General features: G+C 43.0%; 1 protein-coding gene across 13 annotated transcripts in view; it reads left to right on the top strand.

Annotated features, from left to right (window-relative positions):
- SIN3A (SIN3 transcription regulator family member A) overlaps positions 1–17,826 on the top strand; it is an 86,437-nt gene that overhangs the window by 46,702 nt on the left and 21,909 nt on the right. For 12 of the 13 annotated variants that reach the window (NM_001437463.1, NM_001145357.2, XM_047432362.1 and 9 more), the window contains 7 exons: positions 1,970–2,059; positions 7,144–7,262; positions 8,174–8,384; positions 8,958–9,074; positions 12,618–12,856; positions 14,251–14,434; positions 16,299–16,872. In NM_001437463.1, coding sequence (NP_001424392.1) covers positions 1,970–2,059; positions 7,144–7,262; positions 8,174–8,384; positions 8,958–9,074; positions 12,618–12,856; positions 14,251–14,434; positions 16,299–16,872 — 1,534 coding nt within the window. Of the gene's footprint in view, positions 1–1,969; positions 2,060–7,143; positions 7,263–8,173; positions 8,385–8,957; positions 9,075–9,168; positions 9,192–12,617; positions 12,857–14,250; positions 14,435–16,298; positions 16,873–17,826 lie in introns of those variants that run through there. The other variant, XM_047432363.1, reaches the window with a different exon arrangement.

Here is a 17,826-nt window from a genome sequence, read left to right as displayed (position 1 = left end):
TCCTGCCGCAGCCTCCTGAGTAACTGGGACTACAGGCGTGTGCCACCACGCCCAGCTAATTTTTGCATTTTTAGTAGAGATGGGGTTTCGCCATGTTGGCCAGGCTGGTCTTGAACTCCTGACCTCAGGTGATCCACCCACCTCGGCCTCCCAAAGTGCTGGAATTACAGGCGTGAGCCACCGCGCCTGGCCCCTTCTTCTTTGATGCTTTAAATCTGCCTTGTGTTAAGAAAGAACATTCTTGAGCTTGAGAATTATTTCAGAAATAAGTGGTCTCTGAGGTCCTCTTGTGAGTAGAGTGCATGTGTTTTTTGAGATCTCTGGTCTAGAACCCTGTCCTGCTCAAAGTTCTTTGTTGGGTTACCAGATCTTATGTGTATCATCTTAATCTCCAAGGCAGGACCTTTGGGCTGTAGCAGAGGGAAGTCTTAAACTCCTCTTAGTAATCCATTACATGATGTTTTTTGTTATAGTTAACACTGATGGTCTGCCTGCAGAAAACTTAGCTTGCTCCCTTCTTTGATGTAACACAGCTATGATAGGGAGAGGGCTAGTTGTATGTATTGAATGTTTAATTCTTCAGTGAATTTCAAAGCAGTATGTAATATAGAAGAGACAGATATGTCTGCAGAATTAAATAATGACAAAAGTTTGGGAATTTCTAATAGTAAGAGGTGGCTGATGAATAGTGATTGACTGACTACAAGGTCTGACGTACTAGGTGTTACTGACACTTTTGAAGTATCCTTTTCATTAGTGTTTGTCATGGTTTCTTCTTTTGAAATCTTTTGAAATCAAGTTGAACATAATAATGGTTTCTATTTCTTCATTTCAATAAAGAGAATTAGTTATATGGGTAGCAAGAATCAGCTCAGTAGATACACTCCATGCTTGGATTTACGTCCGCCCACTCTTGATTACCTACAGGTGGCAAGAATATAGTGGGGGCTTAAAATTCTCCGCCTACTTTCTCCATAGGCAGTGTAAGCAGAGGCTGCGGCTCTTAAGAAAGTATACTCTGAGATAGCCAAGGTAAATGTGCTACTTCTCACAAAGTTTGTGCATTTCTTCATAGAGAGTAAGTGGTGGATTTTAAAAGTAACTTCTTGCCTGACAGGATTATATCATGGCCTGTTGGTTCCCTTTAGAAGAACAATATTAAATTAGTCTGAGTGGATATTGCTGGCGTGCCTTTTTTTTTTTTTTTTTTTTTTTTTTTTTGAGATGGAGTCTCACTCTGTTGCCCAGGCTGGAGTGCAGTGGCGTGATCTCGGCTCACTGCAGCCTCCACCTCCTGGGTTCAAGCGATTCTTCTGTCTCAGCCTCCTGAGTAGCTGGGACCATAGGCGCACACTACCACGCCCAGCTAATTTTTTTGTATTTTTAGTAGAGACGGGGTTTCACCATGTTGGCCAGGATGGTCTCAATCTCTTGACCTCATGATCTGCCCACCTTGGCCTCCCAAAGTGCTGGGATTACAGGCATGAGTCACCATGCCCAGCAAATTATGCTTTTTAAGTAAATTTTTAATTGAAATATTATTCAGGGTTAAAGATTGATTTCTGTCAATTTGTGAGCTCTTTTTACAAACAGCCTTTTCTCCCTCAGCTGGTAGGAGAACAAAACAGTGGCATTAGATTCTACATGAAGTTACTTTGGGCCCCTAGAAAAAGTAAGGATATTCTAAAAGTTTGTCACAGTAATGTCATGATCATTTCTGGAGAAAATATTTTGGGGGTAGAATGATCTTTGAACCTCTGTTGTAGAAAGAAACTTAATAGGCAAACTGAAATAGAAAATATGAGTTGAAATCTTAGAGGGTATGGAGTGAGTTGGTTAGAGTTCTCTCATTTGTTTCAAATTATTAATCAGCAGTGGTTTCAGTGATGAAACCATTGAATACAGACAAAAATAAAATTCAGAGAAAACCACTCGTTGAATCTCACATGTTTGTATCTTTCTTTTGCAGAAGAAACCCAAACTGCTCAATCTGAAGGATTCTTCTATGGCAGATGCCAGCAAACATGGTGGTGGAACAGAATCGTTATTTTTTGATAAGGTGAGTAATGGATGAGTTAGATTTGATAGTGCCTGTTAATGCCAAAAGAAAATCATCTTATCCCCCTGGAAGGTTTCGTTTTAAAGGTGTCAGGCTAATTAGGACTTTCTGTTTTTTAACATAGTTTCCCAGTTGTGAGTCCTTTGAGTCTGCTAGTACTATTAGCATAGCTAGAAAAATGGTAGCATTGTTTGCTTTGGTTTTATGAAGCAGTTTGGGGCAGAAGACAGATTTTTAGAAAATGTATTATGTTTCTCTTGAAAGATGTTTGGAGCTCCCATTGTAGATATCCAGGTCTGTGTGGCAGGCAGTACCAGTGCCTGTACCAATTTTTGAGGATTTAAGATGACTTGTAATCTTTTTTTTTTTGAGACGGAGTCTCGCTGTCGCCCAGGCTGGAGTGCAGTGGCGCAATCTCGGCTCACTGCAGGCTCCGCCTCCTGGGGTTCACGCCATTCTCCTGCCTCAGCCTCCCGAGTAGCTAGGACTACAGGCGCCCACCACCTCGCCCGGCTAATTTTTTGTATTTTTAGTAGAGACGGGGTTTCACCGTGTTAGCCAGGATGGTCTCGATCTCCTGACCTCGTGATCCGCCCGCCTCGGCCTCCCAAAGTGCTGGGATTACAGGCGTGAGCCACCGCGCCTGGCCGATGACTTGTAATCTTATTGCTGTGATAGTTATTTGTAGTACACACATACATAGCATTCAGGGGAATTCTAATTTACTTGCATGTTTTCAAAGCTACCCAGCTGATTCTAATGAGCAACGAGAGTTGAGATTATTGGCATAAATGATGTTGTGTGGTGCCTTAGTTTGGCCACATAAACTTAAGTGTGATTTGCTCCTCGGAGTCAACTTGATGATTAGCAGGAAACTTTCATCAGGGTAGCTGGCACCTGTTGGGCTTCTCACTGGTAGGAATCAACCTGGATTGATCTGTGGTGATTGACTCTATTTTCTGCCTCTTGGGTTTTGCAGAAGGGCAGATGATTTAACATCTCCGTGATTAGTATCTCCTGATCCCTTTCTGTCTGCTGTGCCTATGTGAGCTTTTTGCAGGAGAGTCCTGCAAGAGTGTTGAGTCCTTAGCTCTGATGTGAATCATTACCAAAGTCTGCTTGGGCGGTTGGTGCTCTTAGACAAGTGTGGAAGTCTAGATCACAACCAATAAATGTCAAGAAAAGGGTATGGAAGGGAAGCTATTATAAATTAAGAATTAAGAAATATATAAGCCAAATGTGACATGCAGACTTTGGATTCTGAATTTAAAAGCTGATTTATTTTTATTTTTATTTTTATTTTTGAGACAGAGCCTCACTCTGTTGCCCAGCTTGGAGTGCAATGGCGCAATCTTGGCTCACTGCAACCTCCGCCTCCCTGGCTCAAGCGATTCTCCAGCCTTAGCCTCCCAAACAGCTGGGACTACAGGCGCCTACTACCGTGCCCAGCTAATTTTTTCATTTTTAGTAGAGACAGGGTTTCACCATGTTGGCCAGGCTGGTCTTGAACTCCTGGCTTCAGGTGATCCACCTCAGCCTCCCAAAATGCTGGGATTACAGGTGTGAGCCACCACACCTGGCCAATAGCCAATTTTTAAGACATTAATTAGACAATTGAACTTGACACGGACTCAATATTAGATGCTATTAAGGAATCTTTTTTACATTTTTGGGTTTTTTTTTTTTTTTAGACAGAGTCTCGCTCTTGTTGCCCAGGCTGGAGTGAAGTGGTGTGATCTTGGCTCAGTGCAACCTCCATCTCCTGGGTTCAAGCGATTCTCCTGCCTCAGCCTCCTGAGTAGCTAGGATTACAGGCCCCGCCACAACGCCTGGCTAATGTTTATATTTTTAGTAGAGATGAGGTTTCACTGTGTTGGCCAGGCTGGTCTTGAACTCCTGACCTCGGGTGATCAGCCCTCCTTCGCCTCCCAAAGTGCTGGGATTACAGGTGTGAGCCACCACACCTGGCCTTTTTTATTTAAGAGATGGGCTCAAGTGATCCTTCTTACCCTCCTGAGTAGCTGGGACTTGCAGGTACAGACCACCACACTCAGCTAATTTTTAAAATTTTTTTGGAGAGAGGGGGTCTCAATGTTTTGCCCTGGCTGGTCTCAGACTCCTGGGCTCAGGCAATCCTCCTCCTTCGGCCTCAGCATTTGCCTTCCAAAGTGTTGAGATTACAGGTGTGAGCCACCATGCCTTGCCTTAAGGAGTCTTCTGAAAATAAGTTAATTTCTAAGAGTAATGGGTTTTTTGTTTTTGTTTTTGTTTTTTTGTTTTTTTTTTATTTTTTTTCTGGGACAGTCTCACTCCATTGCTGAGGCTGGGGTACAATGGTGTGATCTGGGCTCACTGTAACCTCCACCTCCCGGGTTCACGCAATCCTCCTGCCTCAGCCTCCCGAGTAGCTGGGATTACAGGCGCCCACCACCACACCCAGCTAATTTTTGTATGTTTAGTAGAGACAGGGTTTCACTATGTTGGCCAGGCTGTCTCGAACTCCTGACCTCAGGTGATCCGCCTGCCTTGGCCTCCCAAAGTGTTGGGATTACAAGCGTGAGCCACTGCACCCAGTCCTGTAATGGCATTTTCTTAGTACTTTTTCTTAAACATATATACTATATCTAGATGAAATGTCTGGAATTTGCTTTAAAATGCAGTGGTAGGAGAAGTAAGTATAGATGAAACAAAATTTACTATAGATCATTGAGGTTGGGGTGAGTACATAGGTTCGTTATACTTCTGTCTACTTTTGTGTATGTTTAAAAGCTAATAAAAAGTAAAGGTAAATAGGGTATACAGTATAAAAGGTACAGTGTTCTTTTATCTTTAGCTTTAAAAGTCTAGATTCTATATAGTGTCTACTGATGAATAGTTAAGAAAAGCATACGGAAGTCTGGAGCAGGGGTTGCTGATAAGCCACTTGGTTTGGTGGCAGTCTGTGGTCTTCACCAAAGGATCACAGTGCTAAATACTTATTTTGGAACTGAAACTCCAGATTGGTAATCTAGCTAGACTAGTTTTACTTTGTCTATGCCATTGATCATTTTTGGGTTTTTGGTATTAAGATGCTCAATATTGTAAATAGAGGAAGAAAAAAGACCAGATCAGAGGACAGAACTATCTTAAGAGAGCGTTATTCCAGATTACCAGAGTTTAAAACAGCCTTGGCAAAGATTCTTGCTGTAAACATGTTAAGAGAGGCAACAGGCCGGACGCAGTGGCTCACGCCTGTAATCCCAGCACTTTGAGAGGCCGAGGTGGGTGGATCACCTGAAGTCAGGAGTTCAAGACCAGCCTGGCCAACATGGTGAAACCCCGTCTCTACTAAAAATACAAAAAAAACATTAGCTGGGCGTTGTGGCAGGTGCCTATAATCCCAGCTACTCGGGAGGCCGAGGCAGGAGAATCGCTTGAACCCGGGAGGCAGAGGTTGCAGTGAGCTGAGATCGCGCCATTGCACTCCAGCCAGGACAACAATAGTGAAACTCGGTCTCAAAAAAAAAAAAGAAAAAGAGGCAACAAAAACCTGAGTAACTCTGATATGGTGTGGAGAATCAAGCATATGAGAAGGTATACTCCGAGATCTCAGTTTTTAAATTGTTATTATGGTATTTTTTTTTTGAGACGGAGTTTCGCTCTTATTGCCCAAGCTGGAGTACAGTGGCGTGATCTTGGCTCACTGCAACCTCTGCCTCCTGGGTTCAAGCGATTCTCCTGCCTCAGCCTCCTGAGTCACTGGGACTACAGGTGCCCACCACCACGCCTAGCTAATTTTTTTGTATTTTTTTCTTTAGTAGAATGGGGTTTCACTATGTTGGCCAGGCTGGTCTCAAACTCCCGATCTCAGGTGATCCACCCACCTCGGCCTCCCAAAGTGCTGGGACTACAGGCGTGAGCCACTGCGCCCAGCTGGAAAATTTTGAACATACATAAACAGAATAGTAAAATGATTCCTCACGTACCTACCATCCAGCTTTAGCGGTTCCCAATTCTAGCCAGTTACTTGTTTCATATATATTCCCACCCATCCCAGTTTATTTGGAGACAAATCGCAGATACCTTATTTCATCCATACATATTTTAGTAAGTTTCTTTTAAAAATGACTCCTTTTTGTGGCTGGGTACAGTGGCTCAAACGCCTGTAATCCCAGCACTTTGGGAGGCCAAGGCGGGTGGATCACTTGTGGTCAGGAGTTTGAGACTAGCCTAGCCAATACGGTGAAACCTCGTCTCTACTAAAAATAGAAAAATTATCCGGGTGTAGTAGCACATGCCTGTAATCCCACCTACTTGGGAGGCTGAGGCAGGAGAATTGCTTGAACCCAGGAGGCAGAGGTTGCAGTGAGCTGAGATCGCACCACTGCACTTCAGCCTGGGCAACAGTGCTGGACTGCGTTTAAAAAACAAAACAAAACAAAAAAACTCCTTATTGCAAACATAATCATTATCACATCTAAAAACACTAACGTTGATTCCTTAGTGTCATCAAATATCAGTTTAAATTTCCCCGTTTTTATTTTATTTTTTTACTTATGAGACAGAGTCTTGCTCTGTCACCCAGGCTGGAGTACAGTGGCATTATCCCAGCTCACTGCAACGTCTGCCTCCAGGGTTCAAGTGATAATCTTATGTTTCACTCAGCCACCCAAGTAGCTGGAATTACAGGCGTGTGCCACCATGCCTGGCTAATTTTTGTATTTTTAGTAGAGACGGGGTTTCAGCATGTTGGCCAGTCTGGGCTCGAAGTCCTGGCCTCCAGTGATCCACCCACCTTGGCCTCCCAAAGTGCTGGGATTATAGGCATGAGCCACCACGCCCAGCCACAAATTTCCCCAGTTTTTAAAAACTAATGGCAGGGCAGCTGGGCAATATATGACCTCGTCTCTGCAAAAAATTTAGAAATTAGCCAGGCATGGTGGCTCACACCTGTAGTCCCAGCTACTTGGGAGGCTGAGGATGGGAGGCTGCAGTGAGCTGAGATTACACAACTGCGCCTCCTCCTGGGCGACAGAGCGAGGCCCTTTTCAGTTCCCCACTTTAAGAAAAACAAAAACTGTTTTTCTTCCCGTTGTCTCCATAAGGTCCGAAAGGCTCTTCGGAGTGCAGAAGCCTACGAAAATTTCCTACGCTGTCTTGTTATTTTTAACCAGGAGGTGATCTCTCGTGCTGAGCTTGTGCAACTAGTCTCTCCTTTCCTGGGGTAAGTGAAGTGAGGGGCTTAGCCCTGATGCATGATATGGAGACCAGGTAATGTTTGATTTGTGAGAGTATATGATAGGCAAAGTTAATTTACTTGAGATACATCAGTTGACTCAAATGTTAGTGCCAGAAGAGTCCTGAGAAGTCTTCTAGTCCAGCTCTAGAGATGAGAAAATAGAGAGGGCATTAAGTATTTATCGACTAATGGCCAAGACTAGTGGTCTCCTGATCTTCTAACCAGTGCTGGATGTTTATCAAGAAAAATCTCTCCCAGAGTTCTGGAATTTTTTTAAAAATTATTATTATTATTTTTTTTTTGAGATGAAGTCTCACTCTTGTTCCCCAGGCTGGAGTGTGATGGCATGATCTTGGCTCACTGCAACCTCCGCCTCCTGGGTTCAGGTGATTCTCCTGCCTCGGCCCCCCAAGTAGCTGGGATTACAGGTGCCTGTCACCACACGCCCGGCTAATTTTTGTTATGTTTTTTAGTAGAGACGGTGTTTTACCATGTTGGCCAGGCTGGTCCAGAACTCCTGACCTCAGGTAATCCACCTGCCTCGGCCTCCCAAAGTGCTGGGATTACAGGCATGAGCCACTACACCGAGTCTGGAATCTTTACTATATTTGACAACCTAAGAATTATGTGAACATTAAAGCAATATTCTTGATCAAAAGAATGGCTTGTTATTTTGCCTGGTTTCGGTACAACTCTTTGATCACCACTTTAACTGATCTGAGAGTATTTTATTAGAAAAAGGGGAAACCAAATGCTCAGAAGCAGTTCTTCTTAGGCAGGAAATAATTCATCCCTGGTAGCAGATTTCTGATCCAAAACCAGATGGTAGTAGTCATACCTCAGGATAACTGCATCCTGCCCCTAATTGCTTGTCACTTTTTGGTTTGATTCTTCAGGAAATTCCCTGAGTTGTTTAATTGGTTTAAAAACTTTCTGGGCTATAAGGAGTCTGTACATCTGGAAACTTATCCAAAGGAGCGAGCCACAGAGGGCATTGCTATGGAGATAGATTATGCTTCTTGTAAACGATTGGGCTCCAGCTATCGAGCCTTACCAAAGAGTTACCAGCAGCCCAAGTGTACAGGACGGACTCCTCTCTGTAAAGAGGTAAGGCCTTCCCTAGCAAAGATCAGCCCTGGGTCCTCAGCTTTTTCCAGAAGGGAGTGGTGGTACCAAGGATTGAGAATTTATATGAATGATGAAATTAAGAACCCTTTTAATCCTTTTTAAAAAGAAAATGTTTTCTACTTTTTTGTTTGTTTTTGAGACAGGGTTTCGTTTTGTCACCCAGGCTGTAGTGCAGTGATGTGATCACGGCTCATAGTGCCTCAACCTCCTGGGCTCAAATGATCCTCCCAAGTACCTGGGACTTACACATGCCTTCACACCCAGCTAAAAATATAAAAATAAAAGTTTTTAGTTTTGTAAAGATTGGGTCACTCCTCCTGGGCTCAGGTGATCTTCCTGCTTCGTCCTCCCAAAGCACTGGAATTATATTTCCGCTTATATTCAGCACCCTTTTCTTACTAATAGCTTTTTGTAAACTTGCTAAAGGTGAAATTTGTGAAGTAATATTAGTTGCCTATTTCTCTGCTAGAGTTTTGTCTTTTCATTCAGAATGCTTAATCACCAGAAAGCTTTTTTAGGCTTTTGTTTCAGTCTCTCTTCTTCTACCCAAAGGTTTTAAATGATACCTGGGTTTCCTTCCCTTCGTGGTCTGAGGACTCTACCTTTGTGAGTTCCAAGAAGACTCAATATGAAGAACATATTTATCGTTGTGAAGATGAACGCTTTGAGGTACAAGCTTGTTTGGCATTTGAAGTTGGGGGAAATGGGAGATGCTCAGTGAGACTATCAGTACCTGTCTCTGAGGGTTATTAAGATGGAAGAGCCAAAGGCTCACATTCTTCTATGGTAAGTGCTTGTTGTGGTACTTTCCATGCTTTATGCATTGGTCAAATGTATATATTAGTACATGCTTTATGGCAAATGTGACTTATCTAGGCCACTTTAGCCCTTTTAACTGAAATTGTCCATTGATGACTAAATAATAGTTCTTTTGATTTTGCATGGCATTTTAAGATTATTATGTTTTGCATGGTGAAGAAAATCAGTATCCTAAGGTTTATAGTACTTTCTTGAAGCTGTTTTTAAATTATTTAAGATCTGTGTGTATTGTTACCCTTAGCAAGTATCTTGCCATGGTTAGCAAACCAGCTCTGAGAACTGGCATTTTTCTTTCATGTTTCTGGTATTGATTGCTTTGTTGTTTTTTGTTTGTTTGTTTGTTTGTTTTGTTTTGTTTTTTTGAGACGGAGTCTCGCTCTGTCTCCCAGGCTGGAGTGCAGTGGCGCAATCTCGGCTCACTGCAAGCTCTGCCTCCCAGGTTCATGCCATTCTCCTGCCTCAGCCTCCCGAGTAGCTGGGACTACAGGCGCCCGCCAACACGTCCGGCTAATTTTTTGTATTTTTATTAGAGACGGAGTTTCACCGTGTTAGCCAGGATGGTCTCGATCTCCTGACCTCGTGATCCACCCGTCTCGGCCTCCCAAAGTGCTAGGATTACAGGTGTGAGCCACTGCGCCCAGCTGATTGCTTTGTTTTGTTTTGTTTTTTTGAGACAGGGTCTCATTCTATTGCCCAGGCTGCAGTGCAGTGGCACAATCACAGTTCATTGCAGCCTCAACCTTCCAGACTCAAGTGTGATCCTCCCACCTCAGACCCCCACCCCTACCCGCCACCGAGTGGCTGGGACTACAGGCATGTGCTACCATGCCTGGGTAAATTTTTTTTTTTTTTTTTTAAACTTTAAATTCTGGGATACATGTGCAGAACGTGCAGGTTTGTTACATAGATATACATGTGCTTTGGTGGTTTGCTGCACCTATCAACTCATCATCTAGGTTTTAAGCCCCACATGCATTAGGTATTTGTCCTAATGCTCTCCCTCCCCTTGCCTCCTACCCCCTGTGGCTAATTTTTTGTTTTTTATAGAAACAGTGTTTTACTACATTACCCAGGCTGGTCTCAAACTCTTGGGTCCAAGCGATCATCCCACCCTGGCCTCCCAAAGTGCTGGGATTACACACATGAGCCACCATACCTGGCCTGATTGGCTCCTTTTGAAAGAAGGCTAAATTAGGGACCCCTTTCTTTTTAAAGACAGAGTATTGCTCTGTCAACCAGGCTGGAGTGCAGTGGTGTGATCTCGGCTCACTGCAACCTCTGCCTCACGAGTTTAAGCCATTATCCTGCCTCAGCCTCCCAAGTATCTGGGACTACAGGTGTATGCCGCTACACCCGGCTAATTTTTTTTGTATTTTTAGTGGAGATGGGTTTCACCATGTTGACCAGGCTGGTCTTGAACTCCTGACCTCAAGTGACCCACCCGTCTTGGCCTTCCAAAGTGCTGGGATTACAAGTGTGAGCCACTGCGCCTGTCCCAGGAGCTTTATTTTGAAGTAATTAGGAAGGGAAGAGTGGAGTGAATAAATGAGGTGGTAGAAGGCCCCATACCACCTATATCAGGAGAGGGACTACTGAAAGTGGGCTCAATCCTCAGTGTGTTTATATGTCTGGTTTACATTATCATTTTTAAAAAGGGAAGTCTGGTTTGTCTAAAGATGTAAAATGATACGTATCCTATTTAGTGTATCTGTTACATTAAATTGACTGGCTGTGCTTACTTGTGTGGATAGGTATCTTGCTGGTTTTTGTTTGTTTGTTTGTTTGTTTTGGTACTCTTTTAGCTCTTTGCCAGTTTTCCCGCCTCACACTTGGTTCAGCAGTTTCTGGTGTGTTTTTAATTGAGAACCACATGCTGCCTGGCCACTGGCAGGTGGTTGGCCATCTTTGCCCCAGCATTTATAAGGAGTTGCACCTATTTGCAGAAAGCTAAATCAAGACAGATGTTAACTTCCATAGGGAGTGTTATCAAGCTAAAGAAGGCATTTCTTTGTTACTTACGTTTAGTAAGGTTAACTGATGAGTTTAGCAGAGCTTGGCATTTGTTTTTGACAGAGTGTTCCTATCCTCTCTCAGCTGGTATGCCTCCAAATGAGAGGCAACTTCATTTCCCATTTGTGACTACAAGGGCAAACATGAAAGAAGTGGGGTGTGCATGTGTTTAAGATTTGGTGGGATGAGCTAGTTTGAAGGAATGTGCGTTACCAATCAAGATAGGTTAGTAATGCCTCAGTACAGACAACTCCCACATCTGAGTGACTTGTAAAACCAATGGGTTTAATTTCTAATCATTCTACATGTACATTGATGTTTAGCAGGGGATTTGGCATATCAGAATTACTTGGGGATTCAGGCCAAGGGATTGCTGCCATTATGAATGTTGCTAGTCACTAGGAGGAAAAGAGAGCTTGGAATGATCTCACACCTTTAAATGCTGCAGCCTAGAAGTAATAAACATTACTTCTACTCATCTCATAACAACTCATTGGTCAAAACTAGTTACATGGCCCTATCCAATCATAAGGGAGCCAGGAAGTTTAGTCCATTTTTTGTTCATAATTGGAGAGCAAGAGGGGCCAGAAATATTGACCAAATGACTACCACATTCCCAAAACAAGAAAACTTAGGGAACACTTCTGCAAACAGTTGGTTGTAGACCGTTGAGACTGCTCATTTACTTCATTTTCTGTTTCTCATTTAGAGAACCTTATTTTAAGCTAGGGAAAAAGTAGACTCAAAGGTTGCCAGGAGTCCAATAAGAATTTAAATGGTTACCCGCAGCTACAACAGTGAACTCCTTAAGTTATGATAGTCACTGCTCTTATTATTACTGGATGTGGAACAAGGCTATTGAATATTTAAGTATTTGAATATATTTAAATATTTCAAGTTAAACCAAAAAACTCTCAAGACAAAGCGGTCTTTTGGGATTGTTTTGATTGTTATTGTTTGTTCATAATGGATCTTAGCAATTCAGGAAAGTTCAGGGAAACGTTTCAGTAAAGTCATCTCCTGTTTGGTTCCTCTGGTCTAAAATCAGTAGTCCTAAGCAAAGCACACGGTGGTGGTGGCGGCAGCAGCGACGGTGGTGGTAATAACTACCATTTATCCAACTTCATCCTGTGGTTCTTATGTGCCAGGTATTGTGCTAAATACTTTATGTGGATTGTATCATTTAATCCAGACACAGGGTTGTGAGAGTAATAGGTGCTGTTATCCCTATTTTGCTGATAAAGAAACAGTCTTATGTAGCTAGTAGGGCAGAACCAGGATTCAAATCCAAGGAGTTTGACTCCCTACCTTATTCTTCTAAACACTACTCTATTCTATTTTGATTTGGGTCCTGAGCATACCCTTCTTTGTCTTCCTCTTCAGCTTGATGTAGTTTTAGAGACCAATCTGGCAACAATCCGGGTTCTGGAAGCAATACAGAAGAAGCTTTCCCGCTTGTCTGCTGAAGAACAAGCCAAATTTCGCTTGGACAACACCCTTGGGGGCACATCAGAAGTCATCCATAGAAAAGCACTCCAGAGGATATATGCTGATAAAGCAGCTGACATCATTGATGGTCTGAGAAAGAATCCCTCCATTGCTGTTCCAATTGTCCTTAAAAGGTACATGAGCAAATGTGCCCTTAGTGCTTTAGTGTACTTCACTACCGGTTCAGTGTCTCATTAAATAAGGCTCTCATTTTCAACCTGGTTGTCCCATGAGACCTCTCTTTCTCCCCAACCCTGGTTGTTGGAATTCAGGTGCAGAATGGAACTTCTTTTGGGGGTCCTGTGTAACCAACATTAGAGAACAAATCTTGTAAGTTCATGGTGGAAGGCTCTGTGTGTATGTTTGGGGGAGTATTTTAAAATACAGAAAAGAAAAGAAGATAATTACCACCCATGTTCCTGCCACACTCAGGACTAACTGTTGTTAACATCTTTGTGGTTTGTTTGTTTTTGTTTTGTTTTGTTTTGAGACAAGATCTCACTCTTTCACCCAGGCTGGAGTGCAGTAGTGTGAACACAGCTCACTGCAGCCTCAACTTCCCAGGCTCAGGTGATCCTCCCACCTCAGCCTCCCGAATAGCTGGGACTACAGGAATGTGCCACCACACCCAGCTAATTTTTATTTTATTTTTTTTAATAGAGATGAGGTCTTGCTATATTTCCCAGGCTGGCCTCTAACTCCTGGGCTCAAGCAATCCTCCTGCCTTGGCCTCCCCAAAGTGCTGGCATTACAGGCACAAGCCACACCACACCCAGCCCCATGTCATTATTGACCACACTGTGAATCCTTTGTTAGGAGCTTGGTTCTCTCTCAGTATCATCTGGTAAAAATTAATTCTTATTTGCTGCACAGTTCACAAATACCCAGATTTGATTTGTCCTCCCTCATCTTCCCCTCAAGAGCTGGCACAGATTGATGGTTTCTTCTCCCTCATCTTCCCCTCAAGAGCTGGCACAGATTGATGGTTTCTTCTTCTTGCCTGTAGCATTTAACTTCTGGCTTTTGAGATACAGGTTATTCTTCAGTTTTAGTGCTTTTTTTTGTCTTAGTCTGTTCTCTTCTGGGTTATTAGAATCAGTTCTGATCAGAACTTTCCTGACTGTATCCAGAGGAACATAACTGTGCAAGTTCTCTTGTCTTGGACTTCTGTGTTTCTATTAGCATTGTGAACGTTTTGCAAAGTCCTATAGCAAAGAAACAAGAACTCTTTTTTTCAAGGAATACTTATACCTGAAAGATATTCCCTGGAATGCTGTTTTTAAGTAACCATTCTAGGTAAATTATTTGACTTTGAGATAAATCATTTCCTCAAAGTAAGTCTTGGATGAGTAATTCCCTCATGAAACAGAGTTCAAGACTGGTTTGATAGCATCCCAAGTTGCCAGTAATTTTGAGAGACCTAATATAGCTTTGCACCTTTCTTTAACTAAAGTAAGCCTGGCAAATTTCTTTCTTCTAAACCCTCTGAATTCCCATGTGTTGTTTCCATCCCTTCCCGCTTCACTAGGTTGAAGATGAAAGAGGAAGAATGGCGAGAAGCTCAGAGAGGCTTTAACAAAGTATGGCGAGAACAAAATGAGAAATACTACTTGAAGTCTCTGGACCACCAGGGGATCAACTTTAAACAGAATGACACCAAGGTCCTGAGGTCTAAGAGCTTACTCAATGAGATTGAGAGTATCTATGATGAGGTGAGCGGGGGGTTTCTGCATCTGTGAGAGGACTCTAGTCTATATTTAGCACAGCTTTGATTTCTGGAAATTACCTTTGTTAAATGCAGGTGAGACTCTCTAAGACCTGTTGATTCTTGCTTGATAGCTGTCATAGCCTTTTCTATTCCTCATTCTACCATTTTAAATCTAAACTATACCTTTATACCTAAGCTGTTTGACTAGTTTCCTAGTTTACTGTCCTGGTTTCAACTTATACCTCCTGCCTCCATTTTCCACTTCTCCGACTACCTGTTTCCTTCAAACAATAATACCTTGTATCCATATAGTCCCATCTCTCCTTACTTACAGCTTCAAAATTTGTCATTGACCACCAAACTCTTTGTAATCCTTGCTTATTCAGCATGCCTACCAGGACTATAAATAGTACTAGGAGCTAGGATCAGAGATGAATAAGCAATAAATCCTGGTTTCCGTGGGCTCAGTTTTAGGAGATGGATAGAAACATAAATGCAGTGCAATTGGGAATTCCTGGAGTGGGGTGATCCTGAACTTTAAAAATAGTAAAATGAGCTCTTATGTGAACTTAATCAGGCCGGGCACAGTGGCTCATGCCTGTAATCCCAGCACTTTGGGAGGCTGAGGCGGGCAGATCACCTGAGGTCAGGAGTTAGAGACCAGCCCAGCCAACATGACGAAACCCCGTCTTTACTAAAAATACAAAAATTAGCCAGGCGTGGTGGTGTGCACCTGTAGTCCCAGCTACTCGGCAGAATGAGGTGGGAGAATGGCTTGAACCTGGGAGGTGGAGGATGCAGTGAGCTGAGAACATGCCACTGCACTCCAGTCTGGGTGACAGAGCAAGATTCCGTCTCAAAATCAATAAAATAAATAAACTTAATCCTCCATATTTTGCTGATGTTACTTTGTCACCCTCCATACCCCCACCCCAGAAGTAAAGTAAATCACAGATCTCATATCATATCCTTTATATAGATACTAATCCAGAATTTTGAAAGATAGTCCCACTGGGCACAGTGGCTCACGCCTGTAATCCCATCACTTTGGGAGGCTGAGGTGGACAGATAACTTGAGGCCAGAAGTTCGAAACCAGCCTGGCCGACATGGTGAAACCTCATCTCTACTAAAAATACAAAATTAGCCTGGCATGGTGGTGCACTTCTTAATCCCAGCTACTCAGGAGGCTGAAGCATAAGAATGGCTTGAACCCGGGAGACGGAGGTTACAATGAGCCAAGATTGCTCCACTGCACTCCAGCCTGGGTGACAGAGCAAGACCCTGCCAAAAAAAAGAAAGAAAGATGGTTCCAATTCTGTCCTACTCTCCCTGTAAGTCATCAGTGTGTAGAAGGTACCTGTATTTTGACATCAAACCACGTCTCTGTCATTACCTATTTGTTTCTGGAAGAGGGACAAAAATTATTGTTATAGTCAGGTCCTAAGTTTTGTTTTGAGACAGAGTCTCACTCTGTTGCCCAGGCTGGAGTGCAGTAGTACGATCTCGGCTCACTGCAACCTTTGCCTCACGGGTTCAAGTGATTCTCTTGCCTTAGCATCCCAAGGGCTGGGATTACAGGCACCTACCACCATGTTCAGCTAATTTTGTTATTTTTAGTAGAGGCGGGGTTTCACCATATTGGCCAGGCTGATCTCAAACTCCTGACCTCAAGTGATCACCCTCCTCGGCCTACCAAAGTGCTGGGATTATAGACGTGAGCCACCGCTCCCAGTCCCAGGTCCTAAGTTTTTGATTAGAAAAATATAGACACTGTGGTTGATAATGGGATGTATGGCTGATGTGGTCTTGTAGACATGTTGTCGCTGTAGACATCTCACAGAATACTTTTGTGTCTCTGTCCCATCAGAGGCAAGAGCAGGCTACGGAGGAGAATGCTGGTGTACCTGTTGGCCCACACCTCTCACTTGCGTATGAAGACAAACAAATACTGGAAGATGCTGCTGCTCTGATTATCCACCATGTGAAGAGGCAGACAGGCATTCAGAAGGAGGACAAATATAAGATAAAACAAATCATGCATCATTTTATTCCAGATTTGCTCTTTGCCCAAAGAGGTGATCTCTCAGATGTGGAGGAAGAGGAAGAAGAAGAGATGGATGTAGATGAAGCCACAGGGGCAGTTAAGAAGCACAATGGTGTTGGGGGCAGTCCCCCTAAGTCCAAGTTACTGTTTAGTAACACAGCAGCTCAAAAATTAAGAGGAATGGATGAAGTATACAACCTCTTCTATGTCAACAACAACTGGTATATTTTTATGCGACTGCACCAGATTCTCTGCCTGAGGCTGCTACGGATTTGTTCCCAAGCCGAACGGCAAATTGAAGAAGAAAACCGAGAGAGAGAATGGGAACGGGAAGTGCTGGGCATAAAGCGAGACAAGAGTGACAGCCCTGCCATTCAGCTACGTCTCAAAGAACCTAGTGAGTGCCGAGACCTCTGATTTACAGAGGATGTGTGAGGTTGAGGACCTTAGAGCCACCTAGACTTGGGACTGCTTCTTTTATTAATAGAGCACAGGCATTAGAGTCTGTGTAGTTAAACTCTCTGAACCTGTTTATCTGAAAAATGGAGGCTCTAGTTGCTTGTGGTGTTGCTTTGTGCAAAGTATCCTATGCAGGGCTTAGATCATGGACACTTGGTCAGTGGTTGGTACTGTGGACGCACCTGGGAAGGGGGTATCACAGTTAATTTCTCAAATGGCAGATTTCTGGGTTACTGCCATCTGTTTCAAAGTACAGATAGAGACTAAACTGTCACAGCCAATTTCAATCCATGACAGAACATAAATTCCTAGTGCTTAAAACAGAATTTTCTCATATTTTTGAGCAGGACTTCTGTTTAACCAGTGGGGTTTATGGCTCATTCTTAATATGTAGAAATAGTTTATGGAAAGGAGACTGGAACTCAAAAGGTGATATGAGACATGGAGAACAGGCAGGACAGGGATAAAGATGTAGAACTCAGGAAAAGGAAAGTAAGTGAGGGTTCAGGACGCTGTCATGTGCTTTATGTAATTTTGTGCTGCCTGCTTCCAGTTCACGTCATAAATTAGGTACTTGAGCTGTGAGCCAAAAGCTTTTTCATGAAGCATTTCTTCTGGGCTCTTAAGGAAATAGCCAACCTGAGGAGTGTATCTTCTTCTTCTTTTTTTTTTTTTTTATGTGTTGCTGATGTAGGAAGCCCAGATATGGCCCTAGCTTTCTATCTGTTGAGGAGCTAATGACACTGAAAAATAATTCTGAAAGCTTTTATCTAGACTAGTCCTAGCTCGAAAGAGATAAATTTTAGATCTCATTGTGGTGATTCCATCTACTTGGGTAGAAATTAGAAATTAAATGGCCTATTCCTGGCTTGGCCACTGACTTAACCTGGTT

This window comes from Homo sapiens, chromosome 15 (genome assembly GCF_000001405.40).
Source record: "Homo sapiens chromosome 15, GRCh38.p14 Primary Assembly".
NCBI lineage: Eukaryota > Metazoa > Chordata > Mammalia > Primates > Hominidae > Homo > Homo sapiens.
This window is presented reverse-complemented; position numbering and strand designations above follow the sequence as displayed.